Below are 15,997 nucleotides of genomic sequence, written 5' to 3' on the forward strand. Positions count from 1 at the left end.
GGTGTCTGCCTTCCTCTGTTGTTATGATTTGCTAGCTTACCTTCGCGGCACAGTGACCACATGCTGGCACTGAGGGTGGTCATTTCTCAGTGTGTGATCTCGCACCTTTCACATCCTGCTTTTACATCTGGTAAATTTTCTTCCTAGTTGCTCATGTGCGGCCTCGGTGATGTGGATGTGAATGACTGGAGACAGCATTCTATTTACAAGAACGGCTACTGCCCAAACCACCCCGTCATTCAGTGGTTCTGGAAGGTAACTCCGGGGCCCAGCCCCAGCCGGTGTCCTCCACCTGAGGCAGGATTGAGGGCTGTGTGGCGCCCTCCATTGTGGTCTGACTTCAGGACTGATGCTGGCTTTGGGGTCTGTTAGAGCTTGGACTGCTGGGGGAGGGAAGAGGCAAACTGAGCCAGCAGCCCCGTGGTGGCTCCTCTGTAACTGTAGCAGACAGCTAGACTTGAATGAAGTTGGTCCCTACAAAAGCACACTGGCCTTCCTTGACCACCTCGTGAAAGTGACTTTTATTTGAGGGACTGGTCCTCCAATGCGTAAATAGAAATGGGGGGCTTCTCAGGGCAGAAACAGGCTTCAGGGATGGCTTTGCAAGATGCCACTTTCTGTTAAGAAGTCGTTTTCTCAATTTTTAAAATATATTCCAACAAATATTTTGATCTGTGTATCTTTCAACCAAAGATAACACAACATTTGATTTATTATCTTAGGGCCACTGTTTGTATCCTGTTCAGCTTAGGAGGGAAGTAAAATAGGAATGGGTTAGTCCAAAGGAGATATAGTAAACAAACTTAAAAAAAAAAAAACAGTTATCCCCCAAAAAGGCTGATTATTTACTTCACCCCAAAAAGGAATCATTTAACTTTTTCAAATTTATTTTTATTTATTTATTTATTTATTTTAAAGATGGGGTCTCACTGTGTTGCCCAGGCTGGATTCAAATTCTTGGGCTTAAGCAATCCTCCTACCTCGGCCCCTCAAAGTGCTGGGATTACAGGCATGAGCCACCATGCCCGGCCTTTTTCACATTTCTAAATGCCTTTTATTACTATTTCAAATGCCAGCAGGAATACAGAGATAAAAAAGCAAAATCTTCAAAGCCTAGTCCAGGTCTCACTTGGCTTGTTTTAGATGTTTGCCTACAGCAGTCCAAGTGGCATTACCAGTAAAGCCACCTGGATTCCCATAATAATGCAGATATGTAAGATACACAGATTATTTTAGAACCCCATCTTTGCCTTTGTTGTTTTGTTTTTGTTTTGTTTTGTTTTGTTTCATTTTATAAAATGATGTCTTCTAGGGAACGTGTCTACAATCTGAAATCCCATCTCATAACCTGGCTTCCCCTTGTGATGACAAATCTTAAATACTGTATATTTATAATTGGCTTAGGGGGAACTGGTAAGCCTCGAACACAGAAACATGAGCTTGGTGCCATCAGAGAGTTTGCTTTTTATATCATTTATTTTGGCCTATTGGCAGAAGAAGAAAGAGACGGACATTGTGATCACTCAGTCTCTTAGATTAGAGAGGCCAGCTAGTATTGTGGCCATAAAAAACCTACTCAGTTTTCAGAGTCAACTGTCTAGGTCTTACATTGCAATATAAATAAGATTAAGTTCTGCCTGCCTGCATGACAGCAGCATGTGCCATGGGTCACGTGGGGGGTATAATGACCTTCTGCCTCTGTTCATAGGCTGTGCTACTCATGGACGCCGAAAAGCGTATCCGGTTACTGCAGTTTGTCACAGGGACATCGCGAGTACCTATGAATGGATTTGCCGAACTTTATGGTGAGCAGGATACCATTGGATTCAGTTGTCCTCCTGGGAATTTCCAGCCAGGCATGAACTCTGGCCCAAGAACCCTGCCGCCAGGCCTCTGCAGAAGGCTAAGTTTCAGGACAGTGTGCCATGCATAGGTTCCATGAAAGTTCAATGAAAGTACTGTTATCTATACTTTATATAGATAACATGGTGCTTCTACTTCGAGGGATTGGGGGGCAGTTTGTGAAGAGGTCCATAAGGCTGCTCTTTTTTTTTTTTCCTAGTTTAGTTTTTTAGTAAATCGTTAAAAACTAGGTTTTGTAGGGTCATTTATATGGTCGTAAACTGAGGTATAAAGTCACCTCCAGTAGGCAGAATTTTTCAGTGTTTACCATAGATTTAAAAATCACTCTGTACTTTGCATACTGAAAGTCACATTTCATTCACCCTCCCACCCACAAAACTAGTTTGAAGTTTAAATTTCCAGGGCCCAGCTGAGAGGCTGTAGCTGCCTGCCTTTCCACGTAACTGTTGTGTTTGTTAATCTTGGTGCAGTTCCATTCTGGAGACTAAGCAGAGTCTTTCTGTGAGGTTGTGCAGACCTCTGGCTTCCCTCAACATTAAATATCAATGTTGCAGCAGAAGAGAGTGTCTTGGGCCTCACCCCTGGGGGCAAACCCTGCCCTGACAGTAGCTGGACTGCAGACCACACCATAGCTTCATTCTTCTGCCCCAAGCAATCTTAACATTTCTTTTTCTTTTCTTGTCTAGGTTCCAATGGTCCTCAGCTGTTTACAATAGAGCAATGGGGCAGTCCTGAGAAACTGCCCAGAGCTCACACATGGTGAGTGACAAAAACACATGCATGTCAATGCAATATCTGAACTGCTTAGCTGGGTATGGTGCTGGGCTCAAGGCTATTGAATGCTCTGTTTCCTGTCTGTAAGTAGCTTAGAGAATTAAAGGACAGTGATGTGGATGAAAATAGAAATTGTACAGTAGTGCTAATAAGACATAATGCACTCAGTATGTTTGGCACATAAAGGGCTCAGGCCTCCCTGCTGTGGGGAATTTCTCCTCTGAGCCCAGTCCTTCCCTCATTATTCTAGGTAGTGGAGCTTTCACTGTTCAGCATACATAGATAAGGCAGCTCTCAACCTGTATAATAAACACGTTGGGTTTTTACTCCAACCTTAAATTGGTTGAGAAGTTAGGACAAAATACCCTGTAGAAACATCCTTTTTCAAAGGCCTTCTATGCCCATGAATAACCTGTAATTCCCTGGAATTGAGCAGTAACATGACTGTGGTCGGAGGAGGGTAAGAGGGCTGACACGTGGCCAGGGATGCCCAAGCGTGGAGCGTGGCTGCCCTCAGAAGGCCCTCTCAGGAGGCACAGTGACGCAGAAGGGTCCCAGTTGTTTTCTGAACAGTTGCATGAAACCCAGCACAAATGCAGACTGGATGGGATCAGTTTCTTGAAGCCGGGTTCAGGGAGCTCTTGCTAACTCAAACTCCCATGTCCCTCGTGTTGGTTTTTCTGCAAAGGCCTTTATTTCTTGCTCCTGAGGAAGCAGCAGAAGTGGGCCTTCTGGAAAACGGTGAGCAGCGTAGCCCTGTGTTTCTCATGCAGCGGGGGCTGCAAAGCCTGCTCTGGCCATAGTGAGCTAACATAAGCAACCAAACACTCCCTGCAGGAAACGCCCTCCCTTACACTAGAAGTGCTGGCCAGGAGAGAATTCTCATGAACATGTGTTTGCGAAAAATTGGCTGTGAAAGGTTTTTCACTTCTGTCGGATTCCCTTGCCTCACCAGAAAGGTGTTTTTTTTTTCTATTCGTACCATTCACGTGACTCTCCAGATGGAAACAATGTGGTCATTGCCTGTCAGAGCCTTGAAAGCAAGCTGACTCCAGCCTAAAATTCATGAATATTCAGAGCAGTCATTGTCCGTGGTTCTCTGGCTTTATTCTAAGGGAAGAATGTTTGAGTAGTTCAGAGCTTTTATCCAAATGGTGTCCAAGTCATATGTGGTTTTCTGGGTTCTACTGGCCTCCATATGAAGGCACCAGCGTTGAGCCAAGCCCCAGGACTGTGGGTGGTGATGCGAAACTCAAGCTCATAATACTAACCAGGATGAAGATTAGGAAAAGCGAAATTATTGGGCACAGTCATCATCTGTGGTCAGGCACTGCTTAATCTTTATGGCAGCCTTATGAGATATGTTATTCCCTTGGGCTGTCAGAAGGCTGGCCCAGGGCTCACCAGAGTCACAGATTCCCAGATCACAGGATTTGAACTCAGAGCTACCAGAATTAGAGCCTGCACCCTTTACCACTACACCAGATACACTGCCTCTGTTGATATACCCACTTTCTTTTTAGACTTTTCCAAGGAAACCAAATTAGTGAACCAATTTCATGTTCATTCAGCCCATGTTTCTCTGTGACTTCAGGGACACATATCTTACTATTGAACTGTCTTTTTTATTTCGGAGCCCACATGATTCTGCCACAAGTAGAACTTCCCAGATAAGACCTCTGAACTCAGTGGTTCTCAACCTCAGCTGCATGTTGGAACCATCTAGAGAGCCTTAAAGAAATCACTGATGCCTGGAATTTGGACTTCATTGGTCTGGTGTGTGACCCAGGCAGTGGGATTTTCAAAGCTCCCCAGATGATTTTTATAGGCTGGCAGGGTTGAAAATTCACAGCTCTTCCCTAGGAAGGGCAAAGATCCACCTACAGGAAGGGAACAACCCAGCTGGCTCTTACCAGAACTTATTTTCCTCTTTATGTGTCACGGAAATAAAGCAACTGTGTAGTTTTCCTAATGATGTTCTCCCCAGACTAACTTGACCCGGATGGAGAGGACTGGCAGTTGCAAGCAACACTGGCTAGCATGAGTGGGACTGTTCTGCTGTTTCTTCTAAATGGCTTTCCTCCCTACCTGACCCTGACTGTATTTTGACATAGGAAACAGAAACTTCACTGGCTGTTTCGTGGCAACAGTTCTGCCATAAAATTTTGCCATACATAGGTTTAATTTCTTCCACGTTTTATGATACACAATTAAAGTTCAGAATAAAAATCTGATTTCCTAGAAGAGCAGAAGCTGAAGGATCTGGTTCTCTGTGATGAGGGTACCTTTCATTAAGCTTTCCAATGGTGATTATTGAGTGTCTGACATTCAAAGGACTTCATTTCATTGTTCTATAAAAGGTCACTACTCAGACATTTAAAATTACTCTTCATTAAGAATCACAGGCCCACCTGCCCTTTTAGGTAGACTCTAAAGCAAACAAAAATCATCTCGTTCAGCCCATGCATCTTCCACGTGAGGACGCTGAAGCCCTGTGAGGACAATGAGCTCCTTAAAGTCACCCAGCTCATTAGTGCAGAGCAAAGCCAGGTCCGTGTGTCCTGACCTCTGAAATGATAGGAACTCACACTCACCAAGCACTCTGTTCATTCCGGGGATGGTGCTCAGCACTTGATGCGATTGACTCATACCATCATCACAGTGGCCCTAAGAGGTGGGTGATGTTATGACCCACTTTTTTACAGATAACACTGGGATGCAAAGCGGTGAAGCATTAAGCAGCATGATTCAGAACCTCAGATCTTGACATCCCGTCTTTGCCTCTCTCTTCATCATGCCAGTGTTTCTCAAACCTGAATAATCTGTGCACCTTTTTTAAAGGGAAAAAATGGTCACAGATTCTCAAGAATGGGCCTGAGACCCCCATAGGGATTGCAGGCCCGGGACTGTGAAACCCCAGCTGAAAAGCCTGAAGCCACTTTCGGTGAAAGGCTCTTTTAAATGCCATCTGTAGATGTGAAGTCCTGTCTTTATTAATATGATAATAGAAAGTTAAAAGCCTGTATTAGTACTTGCTCTTTTAGGATTCCTGGGTTCCTGAGAACCCCAGTTTGAGAAGCACAGTGTTATTCTCTGTCTTTTAGTGTTTAGTGGCTGTTAGAGAATCCAAGTGGAACTCAGTGGGACTTATTCAATATTTAGTGGTTGTTAAACGGCCCTCTACGGTATGTGTTTCTTTTCTGTTGCTGTGACAACGGTTAGCTTTTAGTATATGTGCAAGTGCTGCCAAAGCGAGCACGTGAATGGTTAGCTTTTAAAACCCAAGAAGTTACTTTGCTCATTCTTGGAATCACACATCAATACCTGGAGGGGGCGGTTTTAAACACAGTTTGAGCACTCGCGGCAGAGGCAGCACAAGTGCACTTCAAGAGCTGGGCTTTGGAGCACCCCAGGGCTGTACCTGGCCCCGTGTGACCTTGGGCAAGTTACCTAACCTTGCTGTGTCTCAAGCTCCTCCTCTGTGAAATAGGGGTGAAGCATTAGCTGCCTTACAAAGTGATTGCCAGGGTTCATAACATTGAGACAAGGCTGATGGGGCATGGTGAGCACTCCATGAACATGAGCTCTTACGTCATAATGAGCTGTGGCAAGTGTGCATGCCATTTTCATGACAGATACACATCAGCAATCACCCCCCAACACATACACACACACACAGAGGTGCAGGTTCTGTGGCTAAAGGCTCTGGTCTTGAGCCCCATGTAGACATACAGTAAATGTTGAAAGGTGTTAACACTGATACCATCTCTTGAGTAATTGAGCCCTTGCTGTATGCCGGGCCCACTGATCCGATCCACTTGGCACTCATATGTGCAGTTTCCCCATGTCACAGAAGCACAGAGGCCATCCATTTGTCTGAAAACCCTCACTATTGCCAGGGCGATTTGCAGCCCCCGCCCCCACCTGAAGCCTCCAGATATGTAGGGACTTTTTCTAAATGCAACTTTACATAGCAAATGTCAATTTTGCCTGACTTTGATCAGAGGAGGTAGCTTAGCACTGGTGTTCCCGAGCCCCGGACAGCCTGGGTTCTGTTTGTGGGTCTGCCGTTTGACAAAGACTGTGACCTCAGGAACCTTGCCCTATGTCTCTGCTCCAGGAGCTCCTGTGCAGAATGGAGATAACATGACCTGCTTCATAGGGTTGTGATGAAAATGAAGTGAGTTAATAGGGAGAAAAGCACTTGGCTTGAGGCCTAGTGTGGAATAAGTAATAGTATTAGAGATAGACACAGTCTTAATTCGTGGGTAACTCCAAAAGCATCAGCTCTGTGTTCCAAGGGTTTGGAAATCTTGCCGGTTACTCCCTTCCCACCAGGATTCCTCCGAGATCTGCATCTGACTATAGCAAAGGTTTCATGGACCATTTGAAAATGTTCTTTCTCTGTAAATTACAAGAGCTTATTTAGTGTGGATGTTTCATAGCTAGAGGTTTTTGGGGTTTTTTTCTCCAGGTAATCAAAATTGTTGGTTAAGGCTTTTTTATTCTCTTACTCAAACCTCATGCCCTATTAACCAGATCGAGGAAGTGCTGTTGTGGCTTTTCACCTACACTTTTTGTTCCTTTTGCAGCTTTAATCGCCTTGACTTACCTCCATATGAAACCTTTGAAGATTTACGAGAGAAACTTCTCATGGCCGTGGAAAATGCTCAAGGATTTGAAGGGGTGGATTAAGCACCCTGTGCCTCGGGGGTGGTTGTTCTTCAAGCAAGTTCTGCTTGCACTTTTGCATTTGCCTAACAGACTTTTGCAGAGGCGATGGCAGAGAGCAGCTGCAGGCATGGTCCCTGGAGCCGAGCCTTCACCACGCACTCGTCCAAGTTCGGATGCGGGAACCTGGTCCCAGCTTGAGTTCCTGCCTTTCCCACCACAAATTATCAACTGGTTGATGTGTACACTAATTACATTTCAGGAGGACTTAATGCTATTTATGTTGTGCCTCTGCAGGCAAAGCCCTTAATAAATATTTTACATCCTTTCTAATGACAATGAATGGAATTAATCACTCAACAGGTATAGTATTACGACTCATGTTTACTTTTTAAAATGATTTAGACCGATTTTCAGATTTTATTTCGTTATGATTAAAGATGTCTCATGTACTTGGAAAAGTGAGCATTTTTTTTTTTTTTGTATTTCACTTTCATACCAGGCTTAATGTCAATGACATTTTTATTTTTGAAGTACTCTGACACCTCCACCCTCTACTTTATTAGAATTGGAAGGCAAATTTTTGTCCAAAAACCTACAGACAAGTACTTTGAGAGAATTTCCAATATAATATTAGACATAATGATAATTTTTTCCATACTCAGAATGAAAAACTGGATATTACGTTTTTGTTTTGGGGTTTTTTTGTACAAATTTAGCTAATAGCTACAGGCTGAGAGAATTGTAACATAGCATGACAAATTTTGTGTTGACTTGAAAGGAATCACACCATTATTCCTTAGAAGTAATTACATGTGTTCTAACACATTTGAGACAGGGTTGGACTCCCATTTCTCATCCGAGAAATTACTTAACCCTTCCTGGCGCTGTACAGTCATCTTTTATTCTATTTCCTCTTTGCTGTTTGTAGTAGAGACATTTTGAATGAAACTTGGCACTGCTTGATTCAAAACTGTGGAAACCAGATCTGTTTAGTCTCCTGTTTGTATGCGTTTGCTAATGGTAGCTAAATAACCAGTTTTTGTTGTAAATGCACCAATTCTGAAGGCACTTTATGTACTACATGGAGGTCATATCTGGTTTTGTTTTTATTTTTTTATCATGAACATTAAATGTGATGATGATTTCTTTTCCCTGCACACATCTTTCCGGTGCAATATCTATCAATTGTGAATCTGGCTGCTGGTGTATAAAAACCTGGATGTAAAGCTGAGCCTACAGACCTGTCCTCACCAACTGTTTTGTGATTTCTACTCAACTACAAAGATTTATTTAATGTACTCTTAATCTAACTGAGTTTTGTTACCAATGACCTGTTGCATGCTTCAATACCGTGTACTGCCTGAGTTGTGCCTCTTGTGTGCTAGATTAAAAGTGAGACAGAGACTTGACTTGATCCTCTGAGCTCAAGCTATTGAGCTGGTAGTGGCAGAGGACTGAGGGTACCTGCACAGTTTGATTCTTTTCCACGTGTAAGTCTCCATTGCAGAATTGTCGTGCTTTGAGAAAACACCTGAGGCAGTGTGGGAGTTGAACGACCCTGCTGTCCTTTTTAACCTGTGTTGTCCTAGACCCTGTCGGGGCAGTCAGGGGACACTAGAGATTTGATCTCATGCGAGTCATCAATAGGACAAAAAAGTTGTGGTTTGGGGAGGTCTGTTTGTTACATAAAAAGGACCTTTCGGTGTAAGAAATTGCCGTTTTTACCCTGCCCTGGCTGGCATGTGAGAAGCCATGGAAGGTTGTGGTTGTAAATGAGTTGTCTAAAGGGGTGCAGAGGCCTGAGGTTTCTAAAAGAAGGTAGATTTCTACAGAGCTGAGTGTTGGTTCCTTTTTCTTATTGGTTGAAAATTACCTGGTAGTGATCAGAAAACTTAGATGCTATGTAACTAAAAAAAAAAAAAAAAAAAAAAAAAAAAAAAAAAAAATTCCCGCTCATGAGTTTTGACTATTGGTGAGATGTTTTCCGCTACAGTTAACATGACAAATGTCTCAGTGGCAAAAATCCCCTTTTTGTAAGCCCCCATAGTCTAGAGGCAGTTTTCTTTTTAAGAATCATGCCAGAGCCTGAGTCGAGCAGTATGCTTTCTTGGTTTTTGAGAGTAATTGTGTAATTGTAGAGGGAGAAATCCAATTCTAACCTAAGAACTGGGATTCTTCTGTCATCTTGTAAACCGTATATTGAAAAAAACAGAATGTCACTAAATGCATATTAAGTCAAGTATTGGAAAGTATAAAAGAAAAATCATTCTGACAATTTCTAAGCCAGAAGCAAACAAGAATTACTGAAATCTACCCCATGAATACTTGGAAGGCAGTAATTGTGAGTGACACCTCAGTTCATCAACCCCTTAATAATATCAGCTTAATTTTAATGACAACTAAATATGCTGAAGTGAGGATTTAGTATTTTTTAAAAAAGCAAAACAAGGTTCAGTAGTCCTCAGCAATTCTCCAAGTTTCTCTCTTTGCCTAAAATGGTCATAGATCTTGATTTCTCTGAATCGTGATGACCACACCCAGTCATCTTCACAGCATAATTGCAGGTGGCAGTAAAGAGAGTGTGCTGGGTAAGGAGCAGTTGCTGGGTCATTCCTTGGGCCCCGACCTGCCCGGGGAGTAGCCCTGGGGGAGAGAGGGCAGTGTTGCCTATCCCAGAGGTCCCAGCAGTCACACTGCTCTGCAGGCCGGGCTCTCTTTATAGCCAGAGAAATCACCTTAATGCAGTCTCTTTAGTTGTCTGCTGAAGCTGTAGTTATTATGGGCCACTTACATGAGGCTGAGAAGTACGTGCCGGAGCTCACACACTGCCTGTTGCGGTTCTCTTAACATCAGTTATCACAGCTGCCTGTGGGTCCCGGGTATTTCCATTCCTGCCCCTTGTTGGCCCGAGGAAGGATGTGGAAAGAGCACCTGGTGGGATGAAGGTCCAACAGCCTGTGCCTCTCCACTGCTGGCCCTGGAGCCGGCAGCAGTGAGGCATTCATTGTCTGTGTTGCGGTGTATTCCCAGCTTCAGTGCTCTTTTCCTTTTTGCCTGAAATGTTTATGCTTCTCTGCAGCCAGTCCTCTAACAAATCTCAAGAACAAAGGTAAGACACTTGGTTTTTGTTTCCAGGACCCTTCAGAAGGTGACATCAGATATTCCCTAAATTCAGACAATGAGGGATACAGAGCGACTTGGCATGTATTATTTCTCCCATGTAAGGACAAAGGGACAGATTATTATTGTTATTTCTGAGACAGAGTCTTGCTCTGTAGCTCAGGCTGGAGTGCAGTGGCTCAATCTCAGCTCACCACAACCTCTGCCTCCTGGCTTCAAGCGATTCTTCTGCCTCAGCCTCCCCGAATAGTTGGGATTACAGGCACCCACCACCACGCCTGGCTAATTTTTGTATTTTTAGTAGAGATGGTTTCACCATGCTGGCCAGGCTGGTCTTGAACTCCTGACCTCAGGTGATCCTCCCGCCTCAGCCTTCCAAAGTGCTGGGATTACAAGCATGAGCCACCGCACCCGGCCTCACAGTGACAGATTCTGAGAAACAGCATGCAAAACATTTGAACCATTTTCTACATCTCCCATTGTTGCATAGAGAGTGTGCACCGCTGCTATCTTGCCAGATCCACACTGGTCCTCCCGAAAGCCAGGTTCATACACAGCAACTTTTTAATTATTCTAACAGTTACCCATTAACAGTCGACTCCTGTATTTCTGAGAGTCTTGTACTCACCTCTGAAATTTAAAAACGTATAAAGAGAGCCTGGGTTAATCAGTTCTGCAGCCCCTACGTGACACTGTGCTAGTTCTCCTTCTTCTGTCTCCTCCTTACCCTGGCCCTGCACCCCTGTACTTAAGAGGGAGAGGTGGGAGGTGCTGTCTGGTATCATTTGCTGCCTCGCCAGTAGAGGGTGCCGCTGTGCAGGGTAACTGCCCGCCTGCTCCCTTCCTGACCTCCCCTGACCCCGAAGATCACTACCTCTGTCATTCAGGCATTGGGGTACATCCTGATAAGTCGTGTCAGAACTGCCAATTTCAGGACTGAGATGTGTTTTTAAAAAACAAATCCTTATAAACTCCACTTTGTACTTTAGATTTTAAAACTGGGGAAAAATGTGATATTCTTTGGACCACTTTTTTAATTTATATAAGCCTTAATGAACAGTGTCTATACATTTGCATACACACACCCCCACCCCAGAGTGTTCTCAGTATGTCAGAGAAAGTGCCACAGCATTAGGACGGGAGCTTGGAGAACGTTTTCTAGAAAAGGGTTAGCTTCCTGTTGGCATGAAATTTTCCAAGCAAACCTCATTAAACATCTGTTGTTTGTTAAAGATGTTCCACTGAAAGCAACGCATGTTTCAAAGGCACGTCTTTCCGTTCGTTGGTTTTCTGTGTGTAAGGAGTAGCATTGCTGTTGGCGCCTAACCTCGCGTGCACTGCATTCTCAACCCCGTACCAGTGCATCATCAGAAGCCTTCCTCGTGACCATAACTCTGTGTCTGCAGATATGTGTTCCCGTGTAAGCCAGTTTTCCCCTTTTACTCAGACTGATTTCACCTAGATTGTCACGGTTTCCTTCATGTTAACTTTGCGTGACTTTGTTCTTCCTTTACTACTCTGTATGTAATATATATACATATATACGTACATATGCTGTCCAAATATATTTGTATATATTTGTATAGCATTTTTACACCTTTATTGAGTAATCTGGTTTCGAAAGGAGGTGAGAGTTTAGTCCCTTCTGCAGTTTTCTCCAAGCTGTGTCCTGTGAATTTCAACCCTTGGAGCCTAAGAAAACCCTAGGAAGATGATGTTAATTTGCTGTCATTTCCTAATTCAGGATCTATCATCAAATGAAACATGAAAAAAACAGTGACTTTTAAGGTGAAAAGAGTTTCAAGCATTCCAAATAAATTATCAATGTTTCATAACTTTTTATTATAAACCCACCTCCTAATAGGAAGCCAAGTACTATTTGATACAGTGGTAAAAACCAAACTACCTTGAATTTTTTTAAGGCAACTTATGAATAATGCTCATTTTCACAGTCAGAATAGCTTTAAAATATGGTTGAATTTGATACACACAGGAAGTTTTCTTGAAGAACAATCCTTTCGCTTTTCTTTTTTCTTGAGAGATCTAAAGAGAAACTGTAGATTGTTTTCCTGACAGCAAAAGACTAATGTGACAAAATGAAGTCATTGTAAAGAAGCGATGCAACTTGTCAAATATTTAATAAAGAATTATGGAAGCTGGAACATTTTCTACATCAAGTGTTATGGGTTGTTTGATTTAAAGCTTCTTTGTGAATGCACCATCTTAATTGTTGTCAGAGGGGTTTAAATGCCTGCAGATTTATAGTATGTTCATTTCCTTCATCTCCCTAAAAGCGCCGCACTTTTAAAAACATTAAAGTCTGGCAGGGCACAGTGGCTCACGCCTGTAATCCCAGCACTTTGGGAGGCTGAGGTGGGCAGATCACTGAGGTTAGGCATTCAAGACCAGCCTGACCAACATGGTGAAACCCCATCTCTACTAAAAATACAAAAAATATATATATATATTAGCCAGACGTGGTGGCGCATGCCTGTAATGCCAGCTACTCAGGAGGCTGAGGCAGGAGAATCGCTTGAACCCGGGAGGCAGAGGTTTCAGTGAGCTGAGATTGTGCCATTGCATGCACTCCAGCCTGGGTGACAGAGCGAGATTCCGTTTCAAAAAAAAAAAAAAAGTCTGCCCAAAACACATGGCTTAAGCCTACTAAAAGGATGCACATTTATTCTTATCCGTCTGCTGTTTTGTTCTTTTATTAAACTTGAGAATTACTGATTTTACGTAACATTTGTATAATCCATGTTAGTCTGTTCCTCAAAAGGCATCCTTGTATACCTAGCCCTCAACTTGTGTGAGAGTTAATAAGACTCAATAATGAATCCCCAAGTTGCTTCTCAGAAAGGTGCTGTCAGAATCCCGACCGTGTGTCACTGCCCTGTGCAAAGCCGGTGGCATTTTTCCTCATGCCATTTCATTCCGCTCAGATCATCTCAGACTCCTGGAGAATTTTCCCTTTTTCTTTAGTACTGAGCTTCCTCTTGATGTGCTTAACCCATCCCCTCGGGGCAGAGGAGATAGCTAGCGGGGAAGCAGGACATCATTTAGTCTTTGGTTTCTTGCGGCTTGTCTTTTTCCATTAACAGTAGATGGCATCTTGCCAGAAAGCTGTCCGCAGCACTTGGAATTCCTGCCGCCTCCTCCAGGGTTATGAGTACACATGAGAGGCACAATTGGACAGAGTCACTGTGAATATTTATATGTTCTTTCTTAAAACCACACATGGTGGAACGAATTACATCAATGACACAGTTGCTAGATTAATACGCTTTTAACCTGCTCTGAAGTCCAAGACTCATTAGGCACTTGTGAGATGGTGAAGCCCCTGGTAAAAGTGTTTGCGGTGAGCATGGGTATCCTGAATTCTGACACTAGCTTTCTCGGGGTTGGCTCTCAGAGCCATGTTCAAAGGGGTTCCTGAGGTAAGAACGCAGAAGCCTCTTTCTGGGAGAGAACACTTCTCAAAACAGCTTCCAGAGAGCTCAGGCTGTAGAATCTCTGAGGAATCATTTATAGGACTTGAACTGGGCTGGAAAAAATTTGAGCATGAGTTTACTTAAGACCCAAGACACAGTCCTTGGTAAGTAGGCCGCAGTGCCCAGATGTGACCCAGTGGGGACTCAAGAGGGCAAGAAGGGAGAGTCCCTGTTGGGAACCTTTTAGGGCTGACCTTAGGCCAGACTGGGAAAAAGGTCAGTCTCCCCAATTAGCCTGTTGCTGTGTTCCTTCCTGCCCAGCCCACTTCACAGTGCCCCGTGCTGCTCATGTGCCTCCTCCCCTTTCCTCTGCAAAGTTCCCAGCTGGGCTGCAAGTCTCGGGTACCTGCAGTGTTGACAGCGCAGAGCCCTCCCGTCACCTCCAGGCAGAGTGGCCCTCACTTCACAGGGGCCTCCTGGGGACAAGGCGTCCTGAGCCCTCCGTGCTTCCGGGTGAAGGTCAGAGACTGTCCCTGTGTCACGTTCTCCCAGGCCCACTCAAAGCACAAAGTTCCACAAGGGGTTGTGGCTCTTCCAGGTCCTCTGCTGGTCTTACTGCCTTGGTGTTTGAAATGACGACTGCAACAACTTCATCCTTTTCTTGGCCAGGTGCCCCCAGAAACTACCTTTTCAGATATGCCCTTTTACCAGGGCTCCAGGCCCCCTCCCTCACAGCTCTGCAGCCTTGCTGCACAGTTCCCCATCGGAATTGTGAGGGGAGACCGTGTTTCCTCCACATGCTTTTGCCCACTCCCCACATCAGTTCTTGGAGTAAGCCTTTTTTCCTCTCCAAGGAAAGGGCTTACTTGCAGACGAATTAGTTTGGAAGTACAGTACTAGAGCAAGCACAACCCCAAACTGAGCAGACTGAAACTGAATAGGGCCCAGAGGATGGGTGAGAGCCACATTCCTGTGATTAAAGGCAGATTTGGGTGGTGTCTAAGCAATACCCTTCCTAGGGAGTTTTAAATACTGTTGCTAGAATCAGGGAGTCGAGTTCTCAATCCTGTTTGGCCTTATCCAGACTGAGTACCAAGGCTAAAGGCAGAAGGTTCTGCGCTGCAGAGTGCCCAGGTGTCAGCGGCTCGAATCACGTGATCGCAGAATATGTGGCCCTGCAGGGCCGGCCTTGCTTTGTCTAAACGCTCTCCTTTTTCATGTGAGTCCCGGGGTTCTTGCCCTTGATCAATCCAGATATGACCAGTACTGTGGGCCTGGAGGGCCAGGTTTTGTTGTCATTTGTGGCCTTGGACTCTGCTGGGGCAGCCTTGCCTCCCCTGTACAGACCCAGAACAGCTGCCCCTGTGGGCGCTTCTCCCAGCTAGAAACCTGAGGGCTGATGGGCGAAGGTGGTTGGCTTCCGACTGCCCCCGTGGGCCGCGGAAGCGGGCAGGACCTCATTCACCCCACCACCTCCACCGAGGGGCTTGTCTGCAGCAGAGGGGCTACTCAACATTGAGCTCAGGAAGGGAGGCCAGGAGGCTGCATGAACGGCCCAGCCTGGGCAGTTGGGGGCAGCGGGGAATGGACAGACCACCTTGGCCTGGAGGTAACCCCAGCAGAGACACGGCCAGCAGAGTTCCATCCTTCCGCTTCCCAGTTCGGGCAGAAAACCCAGGTTTTCCCAGGAAATCTGCAAGCACATTAAGCTGGTCTCTCCTTTAAAAAGGTGCAAGGATGGAGACAGTCCTACCTGTCCTGAGCAGGATGGGCCCTGTGCCAAGGGGCCAGGCAGTAGCAGGCTGGCACTCTAGGTAGGGAAGGGGCCAAGGATCCCCAAGAGGAGTTGACAGCAAGATAATTTAAAGAGCGTAAGTAGGCCAGGCGCAGTGGCTCACACCTGTAATGCCAGCACTTTGGGAGGCCGAGGTGGGTGGATCACCTGAGAGGTCAGGAGTTCGAGACCAGCCTGGCCAACATGGTGAAACCCCGTCTCTACTAAAAATACAAAAATTAGCCAGGCGTGGTGGCATGCGCCTGTAATCTCAGCCACTCGGGAGGCCGAGGCAGGAGAATCGCTTAAACCCGGGAGGCCGAGGTTGCAGTGAGCCAAGATCGCATCACTGCACTCCAGC

The 15,997-nt window shown here is 45.0% G+C and overlaps 1 protein-coding gene across 50 annotated transcripts in view, besides 1 other annotated feature; it reads left to right on the top strand.

Annotated features, from left to right (window-relative positions):
* NEDD4L (NEDD4 like E3 ubiquitin protein ligase) overlaps positions 1-12,603 on the top strand; it is a 357,315-nt gene extending 344,712 nt beyond the window's left edge. For 40 of the 50 annotated variants that reach the window (XM_006722426.5, XM_047437406.1, XM_047437407.1 and 37 more), the window contains 4 exons: positions 148-255; positions 1,709-1,805; positions 2,550-2,622; positions 7,230-12,603. In XM_006722426.5, coding sequence (XP_006722489.1) covers positions 148-255; positions 1,709-1,805; positions 2,550-2,622; positions 7,230-7,332 — 381 coding nt within the window. In that variant the 3' untranslated portion in view covers positions 7,333-12,603. The remainder of the gene's footprint in view (positions 1-147; positions 256-1,708; positions 1,806-2,549; positions 2,623-7,229) is intronic. The other 10 variants (NM_001144967.3, NM_015277.6, NM_001243960.2 and 7 more) reach the window with 1 other exon arrangement.
* Positions 3,222-3,721: an enhancer, noted in NCBI's record as "H3K4me1 hESC enhancer chr18:56059391-56059890 (GRCh37/hg19 assembly coordinates)". NCBI's record gives its function as "activates a minimal SCP1, AML or CMV promoter by ChIP-STARR-seq in naive H9 embryonic stem cells {active_cell/tissue: H9 hESC(naive)}" and the evidence as "EXISTENCE:reporter gene assay evidence [ECO:0000049][PMID:30033119]".

This window comes from Homo sapiens, chromosome 18 (genome assembly GCF_000001405.40).
Source record: "Homo sapiens chromosome 18, GRCh38.p14 Primary Assembly".
Taxonomy (NCBI): Eukaryota; Metazoa; Chordata; class Mammalia; order Primates; family Hominidae; genus Homo; species Homo sapiens.